Source organism: Homo sapiens, chromosome 19 (genome assembly GCF_000001405.40).
Source record: "Homo sapiens chromosome 19, GRCh38.p14 Primary Assembly".
NCBI lineage: Eukaryota > Metazoa > Chordata > Mammalia > Primates > Hominidae > Homo > Homo sapiens.
The window spans coordinates 2,363,855-2,388,870 of record NC_000019.10 but is presented as its reverse complement, the minus strand read 5'-3'; the positions used below and the strand labels follow the sequence as shown (position 1 = coordinate 2,388,870).

Here is a 25,016-nt window from a genome sequence, read left to right as displayed (position 1 = left end):
GAGAGGATTGCTCGAGCCCAGGAGTTTGAGACCAGCCTGGGCAATATAGTGAGACCCCCATCTCCACAAAAAATGAACAAAAATTAGCCAGATGTGGTGGCTCATGCCTGTAATCCTAGCCACTCAGGAGGCTGAGGCAGGAGGATCACTTGAGCCCAGGAGGTGGAAGCTGCAGTGAGCTGTGATTGTGCCACTGTACTCCAGCCTGGGTGACAGAGCCAGACCCTGTCTCAAAGAATTTAAAAATGGAATACTGATTGATTATCTCACAGTTCTGAAAGTCAGAAGTCTGAGATCCATCTTGCAGGGCTCACCATCGAGCTGTGGGCAGGCCTGGGCCCTTCTGGGGGCTCCAGGGGAGAATACGTTTCCCATCTTTACCAGCGTCTTAAGCCTCAGGGCCCCTTCTTCTCCCTTCACAGCCACAGTGCAGCCTCTTCCAGTCTCTCTTTCTCACCCTCCCGCCTCCTTTTTTGTTTGTTTTTGAGACAGGGTCTTTCTCTGTTGCCCAGGCTGGAGTGCAATGGTGTGATCACAGCTCACTGCAGCCTCCACCTCCTGGGCTCAAGCGATCCTCCCACCTCCGCCTCCTAGTAGCTAGGGCCACGTGTGTGCCACTATGCCCAGCTAATTAAGTTTTTTGTAGAGAGGGAGTCTTCCTATGCTGCCCAAGCTGGTCTCAAACTCCTGACCTCACGCGATCCTCCCACCTGGGCCTCCCAAAGTGCTGGGATTACCGGCGTGAGCCACCGCGCCCAGCCTGAGTGCCAGCTTTCGAAGGGAGGTGCATCAAAGAATTTGTGACCACAGACTCTTTTTCTGTCACACTCATCAACAACTCCTGTTGGCTAGTGTTCAAAAGAGATTCCTAATCCAGTCATTCCTCACCATCTGTGCAGCTACGGCTCTGGACAGCCCACCAGCATCCCGTCTGGAGGGACTGGCCTCTTTCCTCCCTCCCCTGCCCCTCTGTGAGCTGGTCACAGCCGTTAAGGGTGCCTTTGAAGTGTCCATCAGATTACATCATCCCTGCGACACACACACTAAAATCCCTCCAGCAGCCTAAAACCCAAAGTGCTCCTGACCTTCACACCCCACCCCTGATTTTTATTTTTTCTTTTTTAAAGAGAGAGAGAGTCTCTCTGTTGCCCATACTGGAGTGCTGTGGTGCGATCTCGGCTCACTGCAACTTCAAATTTCCGGGCTTAAGTGATCCTCCCACCTCAGCCTCCCATAGCTGGGACCACAGGTGTACGTCACCACGCCATGCTCATTTTCCTTTCTCCCTTCCCTTCCCTTTCTCCCTTCCTCCCTTCCTTTCCCTTCCCTTCCTTTCCCTTCCCTTCCTTTCCTTTCCTTTCCTTTCTTTTCTATTGAGATGGAGTCTTACTCTTGTTGACCTGGCTGGAGTGCAGTGGCACAGTCTCTGCTCACTGCAACCTCTGCCTCCCAGGTTCAAGCGATTCTCCTTCCTCAGCCTCCCCAATAGCTGGGATTACAGGCGCCCAGCACCACACCTGGCTAATTTTTATATTTTTAGTAGAGAGGGGGTTTTGCCATGTTGGCCAGGCTGGTCTCGAACTCCTGACCTCAGTTGATCCACCCACCTCGGCCTCCCAAAGTGCTGGGATTACAGGCATGAGCCACCTCACCCAGCCTCACTTTTCTATTTTTTTGTAGAGAGGGGAATCTTGTTATGTTGCCCAGGCTGGTTTTGAACTCCTGACCTCAGGTGATCCACCCGCCTTGGCCTCCCAAAGTGCTGGGATTACAGGCGTGAGCCACTGCACCCGGCCTCATTTTTCTGTTTTTTGTGGAGAGGGGATCTTGCTACATTGCCCAGGCTGGTTTTGAACTCCTGGCCTCAGGCAACCTTCCCTCCTCAGCCTCCCAAAGTGCTGGGACCACAGGTGCACTGTGCAGTGGCGTGATCTCACTACAAGCTCCGCCTCTCAGGTTCAAGTGATTCTCATGCCTCAGTCTCCCAAGTAGCTGGGACCACAGGCGTGTGCCATCACACCTGGCTAATTTTTGTATTTCTAGTAGAGATGGGGTTTCACCATATTGGCCAGGCTGTTCTCAAACTCCTGGCCTCAAGTGACCCACCTGCCTTGGCCTCCCAAAGTGCTGGGATGACAGGTGTGAGCCACTGTGCTGGCAGCAGTAAATATTTTCATGCTCACAAGGCAGTCAGGACTGTGTCCCTTCACTCTCCCATTGTCACGCTAAAGCAGCCGACCACGTGTAAAGAATTAGACACAACTATGTTCTCGTCACACTTTATGGACACTAAAATTCAAATCCTGGCTGGGTGCAGTGGCTCACGCCTGTAATCCTATCTTTGTTTTTTTGGTTTTTTTTTTTTTGAGACGGAGTCTTGCTCTGTCACCCAGGCTGGAGTCCAGTGGCGCGATCTCGGCTCACTGCAAGCTCCGCCTCCCAGGTTCACGCCATTCTCCTGCCTCAGCCTCCCAAGTAGCTGGGACTACAGGCGCCCGCCACCACGCCCAGCTAATTTTTTGTATTTTTAGTAGAGACGGGGTTTCACCATGTTAGCCAGGATGGTCTCAATCTCCTGATCTCGTGATCTGCCCACCTCAGCCTCCCAAAATGCTGGGATTACAGGCGTGAGCCACCGTGCCCGGCCAATCCCATCTCCTTAAGAGGCCGCGGCAGGACAATCGCTTGAGTCCAGGAGTTTGAGACCAGCCTGGGCAACATAGCAAGACCCCATGTCGACAGAAAATAAAAATTAAATTAGCTGGGCATGGTGGGGCACGTATCTGTGATCCCAGCTACTCAGAAGGCTGAGGTGGGAGGACTGCTTGAGACCAGGAGGTTGAGGCTGCAAGGACCTGTGATCACACCACTGCACTCCAGCCTGGGTGACAGAGCAACACCCAGTCTCTAGTAATAATAATAAAATGAAAAAATAATTCTGCAGACCAGATCTGGCTCTGGCCCACAGGATGTTGTTTCCTGACCCCTGGAATAGATACGTAATCTTTTTTTATTTTTTAGAGACAAGGTCCTGCTCTGTCACCCAGGCTGGAATGCAGTGGTGCTATCATAGCTCACTGCAGCCTCTACCTCGCAGGCTCAAACGATCCTCCTGCCTTAGATTCCAGAGTAGATAGGACTACAGGCATGCCACCACACCCGGTTAATTTTTTTATACTCTGTAGAGATTGGGGTCTCACTATGTTGTCCAGTCTGGCCTTGAACTCCTGGCCTCAAGTGATCCTCCTGCCTCGGCCTCCAGATGTGAGCCGCTGTACCCGGCCACCTCTCTGACCGTTTATAATCATTTGCCAGTCCCTGTTCCGGGTGTTCTCCCACTGATGAGTCATCACTAAGGCTTTGAAATGTAAAAGGATTTACAAGCATGAGTCCCAGAACATGGCCAGGTGGCAGCCATGTGCAACGGCAACACCGCAACGTTCATCCATGCTCCTGCCGCTTTCAGTCTCGTTGGAGCAGGGGATCCACCCATTTTCCGCGAGAAACTGCCTGTGTCGCATGGATCCCTAAGCAGAACTGGGCAGCTGTCGGCCCCTGAGGGATGTAACAGGACACCTGGGGCAGGCAGACTCCACCGGGAGCACTGGGATCCCTCCTCCTGGGATTCAAGCCCTGTGCGAGCCCCGCCCCCTCGAGCCCCGCCCCCTCGAGCCCCGCCCCCGCGAGCCCCGCCCCCCGCGAGCCCCGCCCTCCGCGAGCTCCGCCCCCTGCGAGCTCCGGCTGTGACCCCTTCTCACCAATGGATGGGCCAAGGTAGCCACGGTGGCCTCAGGTAATCCGCCCGCCTCGGCCTCCCAAAGTGCTGGGATTATAGGATTACAGGTGTAGGCCACCGCGCCTGGGCTTTTCTCTCTTTTTTTTTTTTTTTGAGATGGAGTTTGGCTCTGTCCCCCAGGCTGGAGTGCAGTGGCATGATCTCAGCTCACTGCAACTTCTGCCTCCCGGGTTCAAGCAATTCTCCTGCCTCAGCTTCCCGAGTAGCTGGGATTACAGGTGCATGCCACCACACCCAGCTAATTTTTTTTTTTTTTTTTTTTGACGGAGCCTTACTCTGTCGCCCAGGCTGGAGTGCGGTGGTGCGATCTTGGCTCACTGCAAGCTCCATTTCCCAGGTTCACACCATTCTCCTGACTCCGCCTCCTGAGTAGCTTGGACTACAGGCGCCCGCCACCACGCCTGGCTAATTTTTTGTATTTTTAGTAGAGACGGGGTTTCACCACGTTAGCCAGGATGGTCTCGATCTCCTGACCTCGTGATCCTCCCGCCTTGGCCTCCCAAAGTGCTGGGATTACAGGCGTGAGCCACCGCGCCTGACCACACCCAGCTAATCTTTGTACTTTCAGTAGAGATGGGGTTTCGCCATGTTGGCTGGTCTCGAATTCCTGACCCCGGGTGATCTGCTCGCCTCGGCCTCCCAAAGTGCTGGGATTACAGGCGGGAGCCACCACACCTGGTTCTCTAGCTTACATTCTTTTACTCTCGTGAGACCCCAAGAGACCTTAACCTCAAACTCTGCATGTTCTCAGTCTGCAGGGACGCCTTTCTCTGCAGAGGGTGGGGGATCACCTCCACATTGTCTGCAAAGGTGGATCTCATTGCCTCCCCTCCGCCTCAGCTCCCCTGGGATGCTGTGTCTGCTGCGTGGGCGGAGAATGATTCATGCCTGGCCTCCAACACACTTTTCCCCATTAGAAACCCACAGAAAAGGAAGCTGGGGGAACAATGCCATTCTGTTTCCCCGGGCGGGGTCCCCTGGACGTGCCCACGTGGCCGAGGGCTTCTCTGGAGGGAGTGGAGTTGCTCTGGACACCCGTGGGGATGAAAACCAGGCCTCGGTGGGCAGATAAGATACAGAACACCGCATGGAGCTTGAGTTTCAGACAATCAAACATCCTTTTGTAGCCTAAGTGTGTCCCTGGGATGGTTCAGTCTATGCAATACCTTGGCCGGGCTTTGGTTCTTTGGTCAAACATTATTCTAGCTGTTTCTGTGAAGGTAATTTTTAGATACAATTAACATCTATTTATTTATTTTTATTGTTTTGAGATGGGGGGGTCTCACTCTGTCCCCCAGGCTGGAGTGCAGTGGTGTGATCATAGCTCACTGCAGCCTCGACCTCCTGGGCTCAAGCGATCCTCCCACCTCAGCCTCCAGAGTAGCTGGAATATGGATGTGTACCACTATGCCAGCTAAGTTAAAAAATTTCTTTGTAGAGTCAGGGTGCAGTGGCTCACACCTGTAATCCCAGCACCTTGGGAGGCCGAGATAGGAGGATCACTGGAGCCCAGAGCTCAAGACCAGCCTGGATCATGTAGGGAGACCCTGCCTCTAAGAAAATTTTAAAAATCGTAATTTTTTTTTTTAGAGACGGGGTCTTGCTATGTTGCCCAGGCTGGTCTGGAACTACTGGCTTCAAGCCATCTTCCTGCCTCAGCCTCTCAAAGTGCTGAGAACCACTGCACCCACCCAGCCCAATTAACTTCTCCTTTTTTTTTTTTGACGGAATCTAGCTGTGTCACCCAGGCTGGAGTGCAGTGGTGCAATCTTGGCTCACTGCAAACTCTGCCTCCCAGGTTCAAGCAATTCTTGTGCCTCAGCTTCCCAAGTAGCTGGGATTACAGGTGCCTGCCACCATGCCTGGCTAATTTTTGTATTTTTAGTAGAGACGGGATCTTGCTATGTTGGCCAGGCTGGTGTGGAACTCCTGATCTCAGGTGATCCACCTGCCTCGGCCTCCCAAAGTGCTGAGATTACAGGCGTGAGCCACTGCGCCAAGCCCAATTAACATTTAAATCGGTAGATATTAAATAAAGCAGGTGACCCTCCATAATGTGGTGGGCCTCACCCAATCAGTCGAAGGCCTTAAAAGACTGAGGTTCCCCAAGAGGAAGGAAATCTGCCTCCAGATAGCCTTTGGGCTTGAGACTGCAGCATCAGCTCTTCCCTAGGTCTCTGGCCTGCCCTGCAGATTCCAGACCTGCAGCCCCTCAATGGTATGAGCCAAATCCCTAAAATAAATCTCAATCTGTGTGTGTGTACATGTGTGAGTCTGTGTGCGGGTGTGCATCTGTGTGTGCGTGTGTGCATCTGTGTATGTGTGGATGTGTGCGTTTGTGCGTATGTATCTGTGTGCATGTGTGCTTTTGTGTGTGCATGTGTGCATGTGTGTATGTGTGCACGTGTGCATGTGTGTATGTGTGCATGTGTGGTCTGTGTGTACGTGTGCATTTGTGTGTGCATGTGTCTGTGTGTGTGTGCATGTGCATCTGTGTGTGCATCTGTGCGTATATGTCTGTGTATCCACTCAATTGGTCCTGTTTCTCTGAAGAATTCTGTCTCTAATCTGTATTTTAGTATAAGTATGTCTCTCTTGTGCAAAATGTAGGACATTCTCCGACTCCTACTAAAAAAATGTTTTGACCGGGCGCGGTGGCTCACGCCTGTAATCCCAGCACTTTGGGAGGCCAAGGTGGGAGGATCGCCTGATGTCAGGAGTTTGAGAACAGCCTGGCCAACATGGCGAAACCCCATCTCTACCAAAATAAAAAAATTAGCCGGGCATGGTGGCACATGGTTTCTTGGGAGGATGAGGCAGGAAAATCACTTGAACCTCAGAGGCAGAGGTTGCAGTGAGCACTCCAGCCTGGGCAACACAGAGTGAGACCCTGTTTAAAAAAAAGAAACGTTTTGGTTGTTAATCTGAAATTCTGGCTGGGTGCTGTGGCTCATGCCTGTTATCCCAACAGTCTGGGAGGCTGAGGCAAGTGGATCACCTGAGGTCAGGAGTTCGAGACCAGCCTGACAACATAGTGAAACCCCGTCTCTACTAAAAATACAAAATTAGCTGGGCGTGATGGCACACGCCTGTAATCCCAGCTATTTGGGAGCCTAAGATAGGTCAATCTCTTGAACCCAGGAGGTGGAGGTTGCAGTGAGCTGAGATTGCGCCACTGCACTCAAGCCTGGGCGACAGAGCGAGACTCCGTCTCAAAATAAATGAATGAATGAATGAATGAATGAATGAATACATATCTGAAATTCTAATGTCTCCGAGGGTGCTAAATGTTTTATTGTTGAGTCTGGCAACCCTATGCTGGGGCCCAGCCAGAATGTTCCCTCCTCAGGGGAACGTGTTCCTCTGGGAACAGCCACTCCATGCCTGGCCGCTACCATCCAGAGCCAATGAGAAAGGAGAGATGTACCAGGGTGGCGGGGAGTGAGGCAGGGGCGGCATGGAGCAAGGCAGGGGCAGCGTGGAGCGAGGCAGGGGCGGTGGGGAGGCAGGGGCAGCGGGGAGTGAAGCTGCACCACACTTTCCCATTTACTCTTACGCTTGAGTTGAACTGCCTTCAGACGAGCCAGAGAATCTCCAAGAATCACTTGATGGATGGTTTAGAAACAAAAGACACCGAGATTCACTTCTGTGATTAGAGCTGGAAAGGCACATTTAGAGTATGAGCTCACTCCCCAACACACACACACACACGCACACACACACACAGTGTTCATTCAACCCCAGCTGCCTCTGCTGACCCTGCCCCGCGGGTTTTCTAAGGATTCCTGTGTTCTCTAAATGGTCTTGTCATCACCATTATTGGTTCACAGAAAGAACTCCACAGCTATTTAGCATCAAACATAGAAGCGCCATTCATTTCACTCTCTCCATCCAGCCAACCTTTACGATGGGCCAGGCCTGGCTGCGTCGAACCCTGAATGAGACAGATACGATTCTCTGAGCTCAGAGAGCTTCAATCCAAGTGGAAGAGGCCCAGATCCATTAACATGATGCTACAAGAATGGCTCAAAACTAGAAGCACAACCAGAAACTTTGAATCTGTGTACAGGGGTCTTTGATTTAGACACGCCGTCAGGGGAGGGTTTTCTGAGAGAGTGATGAGTTATTCAAGTTCGGAAGGATAAATAGGAATTGAGTAAGCCTCCAGTGGAAGGAACGGATCCTACATGGCAGGGATAAAGTATCTAGAATCCCTGTGGCAGAAGTAAGGAAGTCAAGGCTATTGTAGAGAAACTGTATTAGTCAGCTATTGCTGTGTAACAAATCAGCACAAACTTAGCAGCTTCAAACAACATGCACTTGTTACCTCCTCACTTCCTGGGGTCAGGATTCTGACAGGGTTTAGCTGGGCCTTCTGCTCAGCATCTCATGAGGCTGCAATCCAGGTGTTAGCTGGGCTGCATTCTCATCTGAGGCTTGACTGGGGAAGAATCCACTGTCTTTTTTTTTTTTTTTGGTGGAGTCTTGCTCTGTTGCCCAGGCTGGAGTGCAGTGGCACAACTTTGGCTCACTGCAACCTCTGCCTCTCAGGTTCAAGTGATTCTACTGCCTCAGCTTCCCCAGTAGCTGGGATTACAGGTGCATGCCACCATGCCTGGCTAATTTTTTTTTTTTATTTTTAGTAGAGACGGGGTTTTGCCATGTTGGCCAGGCTGGTCTTGAACTCCAGACCTCAAACGATCCACCCACCTTGGCCTCCCAAAGTCCTGGGATTACAGGCATGAGCCACTGTACCTGGTTTTTTGTGGGGTTTTTTTGTTGTTTTTTTTTAAGACAGGGTTTCACTCTGTGACCCAGGCTAGGGTGCAGTGGCACAATTGTAGCTCATTGCAGCCTCGATTTCTTGGGCTCAAATGATCCTCTTGCCTCAGTCTCATGACTCTCTGCATGATTCTCCCACTAAGTGGGAGCTGAGAGCATAAACAGTCATACAACACCAGCAAGGTCCAAAATGGCAGCCACTGGCCCCATGTGGCTATTAAAACTAAAGTTAATTACAACCAGCCAGGTGCAGTGGCTCATGCCTGTAATCCCAGCACCATGGGAGGCTGAGGCACTATGGGAGGCTGAGCACTATGGGAGGTCGAGACCAGCTTGGGCAACATAATAAGACCCCATCTCTATAAAAAATAGAAAAAGTAGCTGGGCATGGTAGCATGCACCTGTAGTCCCAGCTACTCTTGAGGCTGAGGATCAGTGAGCCAAGGAGGTCGAGACTACAGTGAGGTGTGATTGTGCCACTGCACTTGAGATGGGCAAGAGAAAAGAAAGAAAGAGAGAAAGAAAGAGAGAAAAGAGAGAATGAGAGAGAGAGAGAGAGAGAAAGAGAAAAAGAGGAAGGGAGAGAGGAAGGAAGGAAGGAAAGAAAGAAAAAGAGAAAGAAAGAAAGAAAGAAAGAAAGAAAGAAAGAAAGAAAGAAAGAAAGAAAGAAAGAAAGAGAAAGAAAGTTAGTTTAGGGAATGTCAGGGCCTAGTGTGGGGTGGGGTAGGAGAACTGTGAGAGGTGAGGCAGGAAGGCCCAACAGCCCCATCTGGAAGGCTGCTGTGCACCACACTCAGAAGCTCAGGCTTGCTGGGCACGGTGGCTCATGCCTGTAATCCCAGCACTTTGGGAGGCCGAGGCGGGCAGAACACGAGGTCAGGAGATTGAGACTATCCTGGCTAACACAGTGAAACCCCATCTCTACTAAAAATACAAAAAATTAGCCAGGCGTGGTGGCGGGCACCTGTAGTCCCAGCTACTCGGGAGGCTGAGGCAGGAGAATGGCATGAACCTGGGAGGTGGAGCTTGCAGTGAGCTGAGATTGTGCCACTGCACTCCAGCCTGGGCGACAGAGCAAGACTCTGTCTCAAAAAAAAAAAAAAAAAAAAAAGAGAAAGAAGCTCAGGCTTTGTCTTAGGACACACGTTGCTGGAGAGCTGTTCCACATCAAGCACATTTAGAAAGTTTTGCCACCTACATTCTTGACTTCTCCCTCCAGGTATCTAATATGGTTTGGCTGTGTCCCCACCCAAATCTCATCTTCAATTGTAGTTCTCATAATCCCCATGTGTCATGGGAGGGACTAGGTGGAGATCATTAAATCATGGGGATGCTTTCCCCCATCCTGTTCTCATAATAGTGAGTTCTCACAAGATCTTATGGTTTTATAAGGGGCTTCCCCTTTGTTGGGCTTTCATTCTTCTCTCTCCTACCGCCATGTGAAGAAGGACATGTTTGCTCCTCCTTCCGCCATGATTGTAAGTTTCCTGAGGCCTCCCCAGCCATGCTGAACTGTGAGTCAATTAAAACTCTTTTTCTTTTATAAATTACCTAGTCTCAGGTAGGTTTTGTTTTTAGACGGAGTCTCGCTCTGTCCCCCAGGCTGGAGTGCAGTGGCACAATCTTGGCTCACTGCAACCTCTGCCTCCCAGGTTCAAGCAATTCTTCTGCCTCAGCCTCCCAAGTAGCTGGGACTACAGGTGTGCACCACCATGCCTGGCTAATTTTTGTATTTTTAGTAGAGATGGGGTTTCACCATATTGGCCAGGCTGGTCTTGAACTCCTGGGCTTGTGATCCACTCACCTTGGCCTCCCAAAGTGCTGGGATTACAGGCATGAGCCACTGCACCCAGCCTTGGGTATGCTTTCATTAGCAGCATGAGAACAGACTGACACAGTGTCCCGTCAACACTTACAGGGACCAATGGTCCCAGTTTGCCCAGGACTGTCCCTGTTCAGCACTGAAAGTCTCATGTCTCAGGAAACCACTCAATTCCAATCAAACCAGGACAGTTGTCACCCTATAAGTAATGCCTAAACACAGTTGTCTGAGTCTATTTTTGTCCTGCTGTAAAGAAATACCTGAGACTGGGTGATTTATAAGGAAAAGGGGGGTCAGGTGTGGCAGCTCATGCCTGTCATTCCAACACTTTGGGAAACCAAGGCAAGAGAATTGCTTGAGGCCAGGAGTTTGAGACCAGCCTGGGCAACATAGTGAGACCCCATCTCTACGAAATGTAAAATTTAAAAATTGACCTTTCATGGTGGTGCATGCCAGTAGTCTCAGCTACTCAGGAGGCTGAGGTGGGAGGGTTCATCACTCGAGCCCAGGAGATCGAAGCTGCAGTGAGCTATGACTGTGCCAGCCTGGGTGGCAGAGGGAGACCCTGTCTCTGCAAAAAAATTGTAAAAATTAGCCAGGCATAGTGGCACATATCTGTAGTCCCAGCCACTCAGGAGGCTGAGGCAGGAGGATCACTTGAGCCTGGAAGGTCGAGGCTGCAGTGAGTTATGATCACACCACTGCACTCCAGCCTGGGTGACAGTGAGACCTTGTCTCAGAAAAAAATAAAGAGAGAGAGAGAGAAGGAAGGAAGGAAGGAAAGAAGGAAGGAAGGGAGAGAGGGAGGGGGAGGGGAGAGGGGAGGGGAGAGGGGAGGGCAGGGGGGTAGGGGAAGGGGTAGGGGTAGGGGAGGGGGAGGAGAGGGGAGAGAGGGGAGAGGAGAGGGGAGAGAGGGGAGAGGGGAGGGGAGAGGGGAGAGGGGAAGGGAAGGTGAGGGGAGGGGGAAGGGGAGAGGGGTGGGGGGGAGAGAGGAGAGGGGAGAGGGGAGAGGGGAGGGGAGAAGGAAAGAAAGGAAGACCAGGTGTGGTGGCTCATGCCTGTAATACCAGCACTTTGGGAGGCTGAGGCAGAAGGACTGCTTGAGCCCATGATGTTGAGACCAGCCTGGGCAACACAGTGAGACCCCATCTCAAATACATACATACATACATACATATATACATACATACATACATACATACATACATACATACATACATACATACAGTAAAAAAAGAAAGAAAGTACGAGGAACTGACATATGCAGGACTGAAATGTGAGCCGTCACAGCCGGTGGCCATTAACAATAGAGCCAAGAGCCCCAGGGACAGCAACTGTGGGACACACCTGAACTGTCTCCAAGCAGAAATGACCAGCATGCGGATAGCCAGGAGTGGGGATCTGTGAACAGAAAGGGACTCAGGAGAAGCCAGCGTGAGGGAGCCGCCCACCCGTGGCCACTCCAGTTTCTCGGGTTCTGGGCACACTGGGCCAGACACGCGCTGGTGTGCCTCTGCCCCGGCGCGACCCTGCCTGGCCTTCCTTGGAGGCCAGAGAAATTGCATCCTGGCAGCTGGCAGGCCGGGTGGAGAGCAGGCAGAAATCAGGCGGCAGAATCTTCCTTTGAACCAAGCAAAGGTCAGAAAGAGCCTTGACTCCTTGGTACAGAGAATCTGACAGTGTCTCTGGGTACGTTCCTAGAAATGCATCTTGGGGCTGGACACAGCGACTCATGCCTGTAATCCCAGCACTTTGGGAGGCCAAGGAGAGCGGATCATTTGAGGTCAGTTTGAGATCAGCCTGGCCAACATGGTGAAACCCCATCTCTACTAAAAATACAAAAATTAGCCGGGCGTGGGGGCACATGCCTGTAATCCCAGCTACTCGAGAGGCTGAGGCAGAAGAATCGCTTGAACCTGGGAGGCAGAGGTTGCAGTGAGCCAAGGTCGTGCCACTGCACTTCAGCCTGGGCAACAGAACAAGACTCTATCTCAAAAAGAAAAAAAAAAGAAATGACATCTCAGGTCGGTCCTGTGGCCACAGAATAATAACTCTGACATCCAGGTCCTAATCCCCAGAATCTGTAAATGTGGTGCCTTCCATGGCCAAAGCGACTCTGCAAGTGGGACTGAGTGAAGGGCATGGAGATGGGAGATAATCCTGATGATCTGGCGGGCCTCATATCCCCACAGTGTTCTCATGAGAGGAGGTGGGAGGGTGAGGGTCAGGGAGACTGGAAGAGGCTGTGCTGCGCTGTGGCTGTGAAGGGAGAGGAAGGGGCCCCGAGCAAGGGATGTGGGTGCCTCTAGACGCTGGGAAAGGCGGGAACACATTCTCGCCTGGAGCCCCCAGGAGGGACCAGCCCTGCCCACACCTTGACTTTGGCCCAGGGAGGCCCATCTTGTTCCAGCAGCACCAGGAAGCCAACACACGCTCCCTGGGGACAATGCTACTCGATGCTGACTTCGGAGAGAGCCGAATGGTTTACTGGGCATCTGGCATCTTTACAGGAGGAACACCCTGCAAATGGGAGCTGCCCAACTCATAATATCCAGATCCTCACTCATCCTGAGACTTCCAGGAGTCCCAGCAAGGCAATGAAATTCTCCAGGCCTCAGTTTCCCCAGGTCGTTGATCTGCTTTGTCCCTTCAGTTGTAATTTTCTAGGGTATGTGTTTTTTGTCTGCCCAGCATCCCTTTCTTCAATGAAGGTCCACCTCATCCCTGCTGTCCTGGTGGGGTGGTCGATCATGGTGCTAGCCACCAGGTCTGCCAATCACAGTGTTTACTCCCTCTCCCCATCAGTGATGATTGGTCCATACTGAACACAAGCCTGCCAATCACAGCTTCCACCCTTCCATCTCCAGCCAGTGATTGGTCCACACTGGACCCTGGCCTGCCAATCACAGTTCCCACCCCTCCATCCCCATCAGTGATTGGTCCACACTGGACCCTGGCCTGCCAATCACAGTTCCCACCCCTCCATCCCCCATCAGTGATTGGTCCGCACTGGACCCTGACCTGGCAATCACAGTGCCTACCCCTCCATCCCCATCAGTGATTGGTCCACACTAGACCCTGACCTAGCAATCACAGGGCCCACCCCTCCATCCCCATCAGTGATGGACCCAAGAGGTTGCATATGACCCAAGCAGGACACCAAGTTCTTTTGGATCCTTGAGTTTCAACTTTATAAAACTGTCACTTTTTAAGACCAAAGTCTATAGAACAAGATCAGTTTCTTATGGTTCAACTCACAGAAGCAGGGACGGAGACGCCTTCTTCCCAGTGGGGCTCCTAAACTGCCACGTGTAGACGTGGGGCCATTGGCCTCCATCTTGGTGGCCAACAGAAGGAAAGGATGAGGTCAGTGCCGTGGAGGAAGAGACCAAAAGGGGATAGAGTTGGAGGCAGGAGTCTCCACCAGGGAAGGACCTCAGCAGACACCAGAGTGAGTCAGGCGCAGCCCCGCCCAGCACCAGCTCCTCCACGGGACCTGTTTCGTCGTGGAGCCAAGTTCTGTGCCCCCTGGTGCCAGGATATGTAGTTTGTGAACAAACCGAAGCGGAGAGCAGGAACTTCTACAGGGATGGTCCCTAAAGGAAACGCTCTTCCCCTCCTTTGCTGCTGTCTGGAGAAGAACACAATACAATCAACACAACATCAGGCTTATCCACCGTATGCACTCGGCGCCCACCTCACCAAGGCCACAGAGGCTCGTGGGTAAGGGGCCAGAGCCAGCCGGTGGTCAGAGGAGAAACCTTCCTCCAAGAACCTCTTCCAAGCCTGGTTAGGGGCTCCCCAGAGACAACCAGAGCAACGCAGAGGCCTCCAACAGGGTCTCAAACAAAGACCCTGTTTTTGAGGGGTGTTTTTGTTTTCTTTTTTTTCTTTTTTTGAGACGGAGTCTCGCTCTGTCTCCAGGCTGGAGTGCAGTGGCGCGATCTCGGCTCACTGCAACCTCCGCCTCCCAGGTTCAAGCAATCCTCTAGCCTCAGTCTCCCAAGTAGCTGGGACTACAGGCGCCCACCACCACACCCAGCTAATTTTTGTATTTTTTAGTAGAGACGGGGTTTCACCATATTGGTCAGGGTGGTCTCGAACTCCTGACCTCAGGTGATCCACCGGCCTCGGCCTCCCAAAGTGCGGGGATTACAGGCGTGAGCCACCGCGCCCTACCTCTTTAAAAAAAAAAAAAAAAAAAAAAAAAAAAAAAAAAAAAGATTGTTGAGAGAAATCAGCATGAAATTAATGGACAGGCAGGACTTTGAGCCTCTCCTTGTCACCGTGAATACAAGAAAAAGGAATCTTTGGTGCTGATGTAATAGCTTGAAAAGCAGTGAAGCCGCGGAGGGGTCAGAGCTCTGTAGCTCGGGAAAATGTTATAAAGCACTGCCCAGATTTGCCCAATGTACAGAAACTTCTAGACTCCTCTCAACTCCTCAAGGATAGACACGAGCCTTCTTTACCTCTCTGCCTTGCTCAGATCTCCCTGTAAAGCACTTTGCAAATAGTTGGTACAGACAAAAGCATTTGTTGCTTCAGTGAAAAGCTGACAAGTTTCCTAAAGAATAAATCAGCATGGTGTGTATTAGTTTCGCAAAAAGTTGGCTGAAAACCTCCAAGCTGCAACCTCCCTAGGCCACGTGTACGGCAAAGAAAGCAAAAGTTGGCCGGGCACTGTGGCTCATGCCTGTAATCCCAGCGCCTTAAGAGGCTGAGGCGGGTGGATCGCTTGAGGCCAGGAGTTCGAGACCAGCCTGGCCAACATGGCGAAACCCCGTCTCTACTAAAAATACGAATATTAGCTGGGCATGGTGGTGCATGCCTGTAATCCCAGCACTTTGGGAGGCCGAGGTGGGTGGATCACCTGAGGTCAGGAGTTCGAGACCACCCTGGCCAACACGGCGAAACCCCGTCTCTACTAAAAATGCAAAAATTAGCTGGGCATGGTGGTACACGCCTGTAATCCCAGCACTTTGGGAGGCCAAAGTGGGAGGATCCCTTGAGGCCAGGCGTTTGAGACCAGCCTGGCCAACATCACAAAACCCTATCTCTACTAAAAATACAAAAAATTAGCCAAGTGTGGTGGCGTGCCTGTAATCCCAGCTACTTGGGAGGCTGAGGCATGAGAATCACTTGAACCCGGGAGGCAGAGGTTGAAGTGAGCCCAGATTGCTCCATTGCACTCCGGCCTGGGCGACAGAGTGAGACTGTGTCTCAAAAATCAATAAATATATAAAAATAAAAAAAGAAAGCAAAAGCTGAAGGCTGGATTCATCCTGGGTGAATTACCCATCTCATTATAATGCAAAGTCCATTTTAAACCCAAGTTTCTGGCTGGGCGCAGTGGCTCATGCCTGTAATCCCAGCACCTTGGGAGGCCAAGGAGGGAGGATCACTTGAGGCCAGGGGTTGAGACCAGCCTGAGCAACATGGCGAGACCCCCATCTCCACAAAAAATAAAAATAATTAGCCAGGGGTGGTGGTGCACGCCTGTGGTTCCAGCTACTTTGGAGGCTGAGGCAGGAAGATCACTTGTCCCCACGAGGTCAAGGCTGAAGTGAACTATGATTGTGCCACTGCACTCCAGCATGGGTGATAGAGCAAGACTTTGTCTCAGGAAAAAATAAATTTTTTTAATTTAAAAAAAGTTTAGAACACCCATATTTCTAAATTGAAATAAATTCTTACTAAGCTGCAAAGTCTGTTTAGAGTTAAAAAAAAATAAGTCAGCCAAAAGAAAATCATTTAGTGCTGGACAGACCAAAAATAAAACCTGCCTGTTTCAATGAATCTTTCTCTTATCACTCAGATGCAATGGAGACAGCCGGTCTCAGACAAGCGAGCGTTTTAATTCAGAGAAAGGCAGAGAGAGAAGGTTCTGGAAGGTCCTTCACACTGCTAATCTCAGAGTAAAAATATCTTCTAGAGTTTTATTATCTTTTTTTCCAAAGACTGGGGGTGGGAGAGAATGAAATACACAGGTAGAAGGAGGGAAGATAGCCCATTTCGAGAAACAAGAGTGGGCATGGAGGTTGACAGGTGACCTTGAGGTGGGAGGAAGCCCTTGACAAGAAGAGGCATCATTTATTTTTTTTTTAAAGCAACGTAGGAGGGTGTTACTGGCCGGGTTTGAGAGATATGTGAGAATGCCCCCAGGCAAACCAAAAAGAAAAGTGTGTAGCTGTAAAACCAAAGAGATCAGTAGGAGGAGACTCGCCCGCCTGCGTGACAGGAAAAAGCTTCGAGAAGAATGGACGTGGGATCTCAGATCTGAACTGCGCACCAAGATACAGGGAAGAAAAAAGAAGGGGCCAGGCACAGTGGCTCACGCCTGTAATCCCAGACTTTGGGAGGTCAAGGCAGGCGGATCACTTGAGGTCAAGAGTTTGAGACCAGCCTGGCCCCCATCTACTAAAAATATAAAATTTAGCCGGGCATGGTGGCGGGCGCCTATAATCCCAGCTTGAACCCGGGAGACGGAGGTTGCAGTGAGCCGAGATCGCACCAAAATCATGAACCATCAGCATTGATGTCTCCAAATTGAGCCTGTGGCTCGACCAGCCTCCAGCCCAACAGACGCCACTCTCTCGGCATCCTCTGGCCCAGGCGGGAGGCAGGAAGTCCGACTCATCCCAACGCGGTGGTGATGGGGTGAGAGTCCCTGTCACCCAGTGAGTCAGTTTGCTTTGGGGTGACCAGTTGTCCTGGCCCTGGTTTGCTCAAGGCTATTCTAGTTTTGTTTTTTTTTTTTCTTGGTTTTGTTGTTTTTGAGACGGAGTCTTGCTCTGTCGCCAGGCTGGAGTGCAGTGGCACGATGTTGGCTCGCTGCAACCTCCACCTCCTGGGTTCAACCGATTCTCCTGCCTCAGCCTCCCAGGTAGCGGAGATTATAGGTGCCCGTCACCACATCCAGCTAAATTTTTTTTTTCTTTTGTATTTTAGTAGAGACAGGGTTTTGCTGTGTCACCCAGGGTAGTCACAAACACCTGAACTCAGGCAATCCGCCTGCCTCAGCCTCCCAAAGTGCTGGGATTACAGGCGTGAGCCGCTGCGCCCGGCAGCTATTCCAGTTTTAACCTGGAACCTGGGACATCTGGCCAACCTACCGACTTCCGTCTTCATCTGTCAGGAACCATCTGGAGCCGTGTGGGGGCCCCCAAGGAGGGACTAGGCAAGGACTTTGTTAGCAGAGCCACGAGTGACTGTGAACGAGTGAGCGACTGTGAACGAGGCAATAGCAATGTCTGTTTCCAGCCTCCAGATGAGGCCAGCTGGGGAGAGTCTTGGTTTAGGGCCAGCGTGTCCTTAATGCCACTCTGAGACCTGCCAGTGTCTGTTTTCAAACAGGAGTGAGCTGTGGGCTCAGAGCCTTCGCAGAGGACATCCGGGGCCAGGGAGTAGGGTGACAGGAGGTAGGTATTGGCCCTGGGAGAAAAATTAAAGTGAGTTCCAAAAACCTCGGTCATCAAGATACATAATATTGTCATGCATTTTTTTCTTTTTGAGATAGGGTCTGGCTCTGTCACCCAGGCTGAAGTACAGTGTTATGATCTCGGCTCACTGCAGCCTTGAACTCTTGGGCTCAAGGGATCCTCCTGCCTCAGCCTCCCGAGTAGATGGGACTACAAATGCATGCCACCACGCTGGGTTAATTTTTTTTTTAAGTTTTTGTAGAGACGAGGTCTTGCAATGTTGTCCAGTCTGGGCAATATATATATAAAGAGAGACAGAGAGAGAAAGCAAAAGCAAAAGAAAGCAAAAGCTGAAGGCTGGATTCATCCTGGGTGAATTACCCATCTCATTATAATGCAAAGTCCATTTTAAACCCAAGTTTCTGGCTGGGCGTGGTGGCTCACGCCTGTAATCCCAGCACCTTGGGAGGCCAAGGAGGGAGGATCACTTGAGGCCAGGGGTTGAGACCAGCCTGAGGAACATAGCGAGACCCCCATCTCCACAAAAAATAAAAATAATGAGCCAGGCATGGTGTAGCCTGCAACCTGGGACATCTGGCCAACCTACCCACTTTTTTTTTTTTTTTTTTTTTGAGACAGAGTCTCACTCTATCACCCAGGCTGGAGTGCAGTGGCGTGATCTTGGCTCACTGCAAGCTCCACCTCCCAGGTTCACACCATTCTCCTGCCTCAGCCTCCTGAGTATCTGGGACTACAGGCTCCCGCCACTGTGCCTGGCTAATTTTTTTGTTATTTTTAGTAGAGACAGGGTTTCACCGTGTTAGCCAGGATGTGTATATATTTTTTTGAAATGAAGTCTCTTGTCACCCAGGCTAGAGTGCAGTGGCACAATATCAGCTCAATGCAATCTCTGCCTCCTGGGTTCACGTGATTTCCTGCCTCAGCCTCCCAAGTAGCTGGGATTACACTGGTGCCCGCCATCATGCCCGGCTAATTTTTGTATTTTCAGTAGAGAAGGGGTTTCGCTATATTGCCCAGGCTGGTCTTGAACTCCTGACCTCAAGTGACCTGCCAGCCTTGGCCTCCCAAAGTGCTGGGATTACAGGCATGAGCCACTGCATTTGGGCATCCCCAGTTGAGTTTCTGATGAGACCACAGCCCAGCCAACACTCTGACTGCAGTCTTGTCAGACCCTGAGCAGAGGATCCAGCCAAACCATGCCCAGCCACCCAACCCACAGAAACCACAAAACCATGAGACAGTAAACAGGAGGTGTTTCAAGTTGCTACATTTGTGGTAATTTGCAGAAAACTAGGCCAGGTGCAGTGGCTCAGGTCTGTAATCCCAGCACTTTTGGAGGCTGTGGCAGGAGGATCGCTTGAGCCCAGGACTTTGAGATCAGTGTAGGCAACATAATGAGATCCCATCTCTAAAAAAAAAAAAAAAAAAAAAAAATTACAAATTAGCCAGGGTGGTAGCACACACCTGTAGTCCCAGCTACTTGGGAGGCTGAGGCAGGAAGATCACTTGAGCCCAGGAGGTTGAGGCTGCAGTGAGCTGCGATCAAGCCACTACACTGCAGCCTGGGTGAGGGTGACAGAGCAAGACCCTGTCTTAAACAAACAAAAGCTAATACAATCATTAACAGGCTTCTTAAATTTGACACTGACCAAACTGAGCTCTCATATCCCTCCTCAGTCTCCTCTTCACAAAAATGCCTGCTCCTCCCACAGTCTTCTCAGCTCAGACAGCAGCTCCACTTTCGTACTCACCCAGGTACAAAAAAATTTTTTTTAAAACCTGGGTTTGGCCGGGCACAGTGGCTCACGCCTGTAATCCCATCACTTTGGGAGATGGGTGGATCACCTGAAGTCAGGAGTTTGAGACCAGCATGGCCAACATGGTGAAACCCCATCTGTACTAAAAATACAAAATTAGCTGGGTGTGGTGGTGGGCGCCTGTAATCCCAGTTACTCTGGAGGCTGAGGCAGGAGAATCACTTGAACCCGGGAGGTGGAGGTTACAGTGAGCCGAGATCACACCTTTGCACTACAGCCTGGACAATGAGAGCAAAACTCTGTCTCAAAAAAAAAAAAAAGAATTAGCCGGGCATGGTGGCGTACACCTGTAATCCCAGCTACTCAGGAGGCTGAGGCAGGAGAATTGCTTGAGCCCAGGAGGCGGAGGTTGCAGTGAGCTGAGATTGCGCCACTGTGCTCCAGCCTGGGCGACAGAGTGAGACTCTGTCTTTAAAAAAAAAAAAAAAAAAAAAAAAAAACTGGGTTTATCCTTGATGCCCTGGCACATCCCAAACCCAGTCCATCCAAAAACGTTGTCAGACCGTCTGCAGGGTAGCTCTAGAATTGGGCCCCTACGCCATGTCTAGCCTGGTCTAAGCAGGGCATCGCCCAGGCTCACAAAATGCCACTTCCATCTTCCCCTCCCTGGGTCTATTCTCAACGGGAAGCCTCAGGGAGACAGCTAAGACCCGCGTCAGGTGACATCCCACCTCTGCCCAAACCTCCCCACAGCGACCGGGTCTAACTGTCCTCATCTCCAACCCCTCCCTCCTTCAGCCCCAGCTTCACTGGCCTCCTCGCCGATCCCCAAACATGCACAGCATGGTCCAGCCTCAGTGCCTTCAAAGGCACAGGCTGTGTCTCCTGCCTGACATCCTCAGCTATACCCTAATGTGCCCTTCACATTCTCTGCTTTTTTTTTTTTTTTGGTCTCTCAAATTTTGCAAACTGCACCCATGGGAGTAGATGGTAGGATGGTTTCTGCCACATGCAGAGCCTGGAACTGCTTAATTCCCATTTGTCTTCCCTTAACCATTGGAAAAGGGGAGCCAGGAAAAACGCAGCCGCCATGTGCAGTCTCTCCGTTCCGTAGCCTAATGCCTCCTGAAAGAGCAAGTTATTTCCCTCTGCCTCTCCGGCCCCACAAATCCAGAGAGTTACAATTTGATAACTATAGCTGGCACATCATTCCTCAAGAGCTGTAACACTGAAAAATATACCTTTAATAAAAGTAAGTGGATAAAGCCAGGCATGGTGGCTCATGCCTATAATCCCAACATTTTGGGAAGCTGAGGCAGGTGGATCACTTGAGATCCAGAGTTCGAGACCAGCCTGGCCAACATGGTAAAACCCTGTCTCTACTAAAAATACAAAAATTAGCCAGTCATGGGCTGGGTGCAGTGGCTCATGCCTGTAATCCCAGCACTTTGGGAGGCCAAGGTGGGTGGATCACCTGAGGTCAAGAGTTCAAGACCAGCCTGGCTAACACAGTGAAACCCCATCTCTACTAAAAATACAAAAAATTAGCCAGGCATGGTGGCAGGTGACTGTAGTCCCAGCTACTTGGGAGGCTGAGGCAGGAGAATGGTGTCAACCCGGGAGGCAGAACTTGCAGTGAGCTGAGATCGTGCCACTGAATTCTAGCCTGGGCGACGGAGCAAGACTCCCTCTCAAAAAAAAAAAAAAAAAAAATTAGCCAGTCATGGTGGTGCACACCTGTAATCCCAGCTACTTGGGAGGCTGAGGCAGGAGAATCACTTGAACCCAGGAGGCAGAGGTTGCAGGGAGCCAAGTTTCCACCACTGCACTCCAGCCTGGGCAATGGAGCAAGACTCCATCTTGAAAAAAAAAAGTACATAAGCATTTTCTATGTGACAGGTGTTGTATTAAACAATATTTACAGTCATCATCTCATTTATTGCCACATTTCTCCTATGAGACTGGTTCTATTCTGACCAAAGATGAATTGGAGGCACCGAAGAGTTAGGTAACTTGCCCAAGGTTATAGATGTGGTGGTTTTTAAATATCTCCAAAAATTATTTGCTATCCTCACCTAGCAGAGCCTAATTTCCCTCTCCGAGTGTGTGTTGGACTTATTGACTCACTTGTAATGAATAGAATATACCAGAAGCAATGGATCTAGGCTTCTGAGGTTAGATCATAGAAGCACTATGGCTTTGTTCTTTCTCTCCCTTGAATCACCAGCCCTGGGGGAAGCAAGCAGCCATGTTGTCAGGATGCTCGAGCAGCACTATGGTGATTCCCATGTGGTGAGGAACTGAGGCCTCCCACCAACAGCCACATGAGGACACCAGCTTTGAAGTGGCTCTTCCAGGCCCAGACGAGCTTTCAGATGAGGCAGCCCTGGCCCATGTCTTTTTTTTTTTTTTTTTTTTGAAATGGAGTCTCGCTCTGTCGCCCAGGCTGGAGTGCAGTGGCGCAATCTTGGCTCACTGCAAGCTCCACCTCCTGGGTTCACGCCATTCTCCTGCCTCCGCCTCCTGAGTAGCTGGGACTACAGGTGCCCGCCACCACGCCCGGCTAATTTTTTGTATTTTTAGTAGAGGTGGGGTTTCATCGTGTTAGCCAGGATGGTCTTGATCTCCTGACCTTGTGATCTGCCCTCCTCAGCCTCCCAAAGTGCTGGGATTACAGGCGTGAGCCACCGCACCCAGCCCCTGGCCCATGTCTTAACTGCAACCTCATGAGAGACCATGGGCCAGAACCACCCAGATAAATCACTCCCAAATCCTTGGCCCACAGAAACTGTGACAGAATAAATGTCTGTTGTTTTAATTGGCTAAATTTGAGAGACATTTGTTATGCAGTAACCAAAAACTAATACACAGGACGGCAGGTCCCAGGGCTCTTCTGTCTGGTGTTCCTTATTTACTTTTTTGGTTTTTGAGATAGGGTTTCACTCTGTCACCCAGGCTGGAGTGCACTGATGCTATCACAGCTCACTGAAGCCTCAACCTCCTGGACTCAAGCAATCCTCCCACCTCGGCCGCCTGAGTAGCTAGGACTACAGGTGTGCACCACCACACCCGGCTAATTTTTTAAATTTTTGGTAGAGACAGGGTCTCACTCTCTGCTTTTAATGGCCAATGTTTTCTAGTTGCTCAAAACCATGGTTCAACCTCTCCAAGGAGAAATTCAGGGGGTTCCCTTTTTTTCCAAGCAGTTTCAATAAAACCCAAAGGTTCACCTCAGCTTCATTCTTGAGCTTCTAAATTTCTTCTCTTCTCTTTCTCCATCTCTTTTTTAAAATTATTTATTTATTTATTTTGAGACAGAATCTCACTCTATCACCCAGGCTGGAGTGCAGTGGTGTTATCACAGCTCACTGCAGCCTCCAACTCCTGGGTTGAAGCAATCCTCCCACCTCAGCTTCCTAAATAGTTGGGGCTATGGGTGCACACCACCATGCCTGGCTCATTTTTTTAGTTTTTGTACAGATGGGGTCTTGCTATGTTGCCCAGCTGGTCTCAACTTCCTGTGCTCAAGTGATCCTCCTGCCTCAGCCTCCCAAATAGCTGGGACTACAAGCCTGCACCATCATGCCCCCAGCCTCGGTCTGGGCTCTTTAGCTGTCTTGCCCACCTGTCTGTGTAGTTTTTTTGTTTTTTTTGTTTGTTTGTTTGTTTTTTCCTTCACCTAATCCAAGATGATCACAGTTTTCGGACACGTCCATCCCATTCGATTCCGCATCTTTGGTCCCACGGCAGCCAAAGCCCGTTTATAGAACAGACAGCTGTTGTCTACGCCATGGCCTCTCTTATTTCTTCCTGTCCCCTGTCCTCAGGCCTGAATCTAGTCAGGAAATCCTCCCCTCCTCCATCGCCCCAACATCATGAAATAAATCACTCAGCAAGCCTACAGGAAATTTAATAAGCTTGGTCTCCTTTTTTTTTTCATTTTGTCTATGGTCTTTTTGTTAGGCTTTCATGGGAAGAGGTGTTTGTGAGAAAACTATTTGCAGCAATGGTATCTTGTGTTCTTTTAGCTTTATAATGTGGACAGAGGAGAAAGGAGTCAGTAATCGTGTGGGAGGGAAGACGCCGATAAACATGAGTGATACTAAGGGACCCAGAGGAAAACGCAGAGATTAAAAAATAACCTTCCAATCACTTATGAGTTGTATCATTTAAAATTAATACAGCTCCTAAATGCAATGTGGGATCCTGGATTGCAACGTAGAACAGAAATATTGGTGGGAAGACAGAGTGTGGCACCCACAGTCGTGCGTCAGTTTTGCTCTTTTTTTTTTTTTTGAGATGGAGTCTCGCTCCGTCGCCCAGGCTGGAGTGCAGTGGCGCGATCCTGGCTCACTGCAAGCTCTGCCTCCCGGGTTCACGCCATTCTCCTGCTTCAGCCTCCCGAGATTACAGGCGCCCGCCACCAGGCCCGGCTAATTTTTTTTGTATTTTTAGTAGAGATGGGGTTTCAGCGTGTTAGCCAGGATGGTCTCGATCTCCTGACCTCATGATCGGCCCGCCTCAGCCTCCCAAAGTGCTGGGATTACAGGCGTGAGCCACCGTTCCCGGCCCAGTTTTGCTCTTTGTTCTGTGGTCAAAGGTGTCAACGCAAGGGGACACTGGGTGGAAGGTGGGTGTGCGGGGACTCTCTGCACCATCTTCACAACTAAAATTATCCCCCCCAATTTTTTTTTTCATAAAGGTAAAGTGTAAACAAAACAACAAAGGGCTGGGTGCCGTGGCTCCCGCCTGTAATCTCAGCACTTTGGGAGGCCAAGGTGGGAGGATTCCTTGAGCCCAGGAATTCAAGACCAGCCTGATCAACATAGTGAGATCCCATCTCTGCAAAACAACAACAACAAAGGAAGCCTTATGCAGTTATGAGTGGATCACCCAGAATATGTTATCCTCTGCATCCATTTCAGAGCAACACACAGAAACATCAATGGCTTAGAACAGCCTGCAGGGCTGCGTCAACCATCAACTTCAATAAAACCCCAAGGTTCGCCTCAGCTTCATTCTTGGGCTTCTAAATTTCTTCTATTTATGCGTCTTTCATTCATTCATTCATTCATTCATTCACTTATTTATTTGAGACAGGGTCTCACTCCGTCACCCAGGCTGGAGTGCAGTGGTGTGATCACAGTTCACTGCAGCCTCCAACTCCCGGGCTCAAGCGATCCTCCCATCTCAGCCTCCTGAGTAGCTGGGACTACAGGTGCTGGGTCTACAGGACTACCGGGAGGCTGAGATGTGCTTATACCAACAGCGTCCTGTTGGTGTAGGGCTCATAGGCTTATGAGAGTTGATCCAGCCCTCCCAATAATCCCAGGGTATACAGGAGACAGGTCCAGCTAATATCAGCATGCCCATTTACAGAGGAGGAGATTAAGGCTCTCTCTGCCTCTCCCTCCCTCCCT

The 25,016-nt window shown here is 50.5% G+C and overlaps 1 protein-coding gene across 3 annotated transcripts in view, besides 1 other annotated feature; it reads right to left on the bottom strand.

The window, feature by feature from the left end:
- TMPRSS9 (transmembrane serine protease 9) overlaps positions 1–25,016 on the bottom strand; it is a 65,997-nt gene that overhangs the window by 37,391 nt on the left and 3,590 nt on the right. Inside the window, exon 1 of one of the 3 annotated variants that reach the window (XM_011527978.3) lies at positions 3,382–3,615. The exons of 1 other annotated variant lie outside the window; for it this stretch is intronic. The gene's annotated coding sequence lies outside the window, so the exon portion shown is untranslated. Of the gene's footprint in view, positions 1–3,381; positions 3,616–25,016 lie in introns of those variants that run through there. One more of the 3 variants, NM_182973.3, reaches the window with a different exon arrangement.
- Positions 11,919–12,431: an enhancer, noted in NCBI's record as "H3K4me1 hESC enhancer chr19:2376438-2376950 (GRCh37/hg19 assembly coordinates)". NCBI's record gives its function as "activates a minimal SCP1, AML or CMV promoter by ChIP-STARR-seq in primed H9 embryonic stem cells {active_cell/tissue: H9 hESC(primed)}" and the evidence as "EXISTENCE:reporter gene assay evidence [ECO:0000049][PMID:30033119]".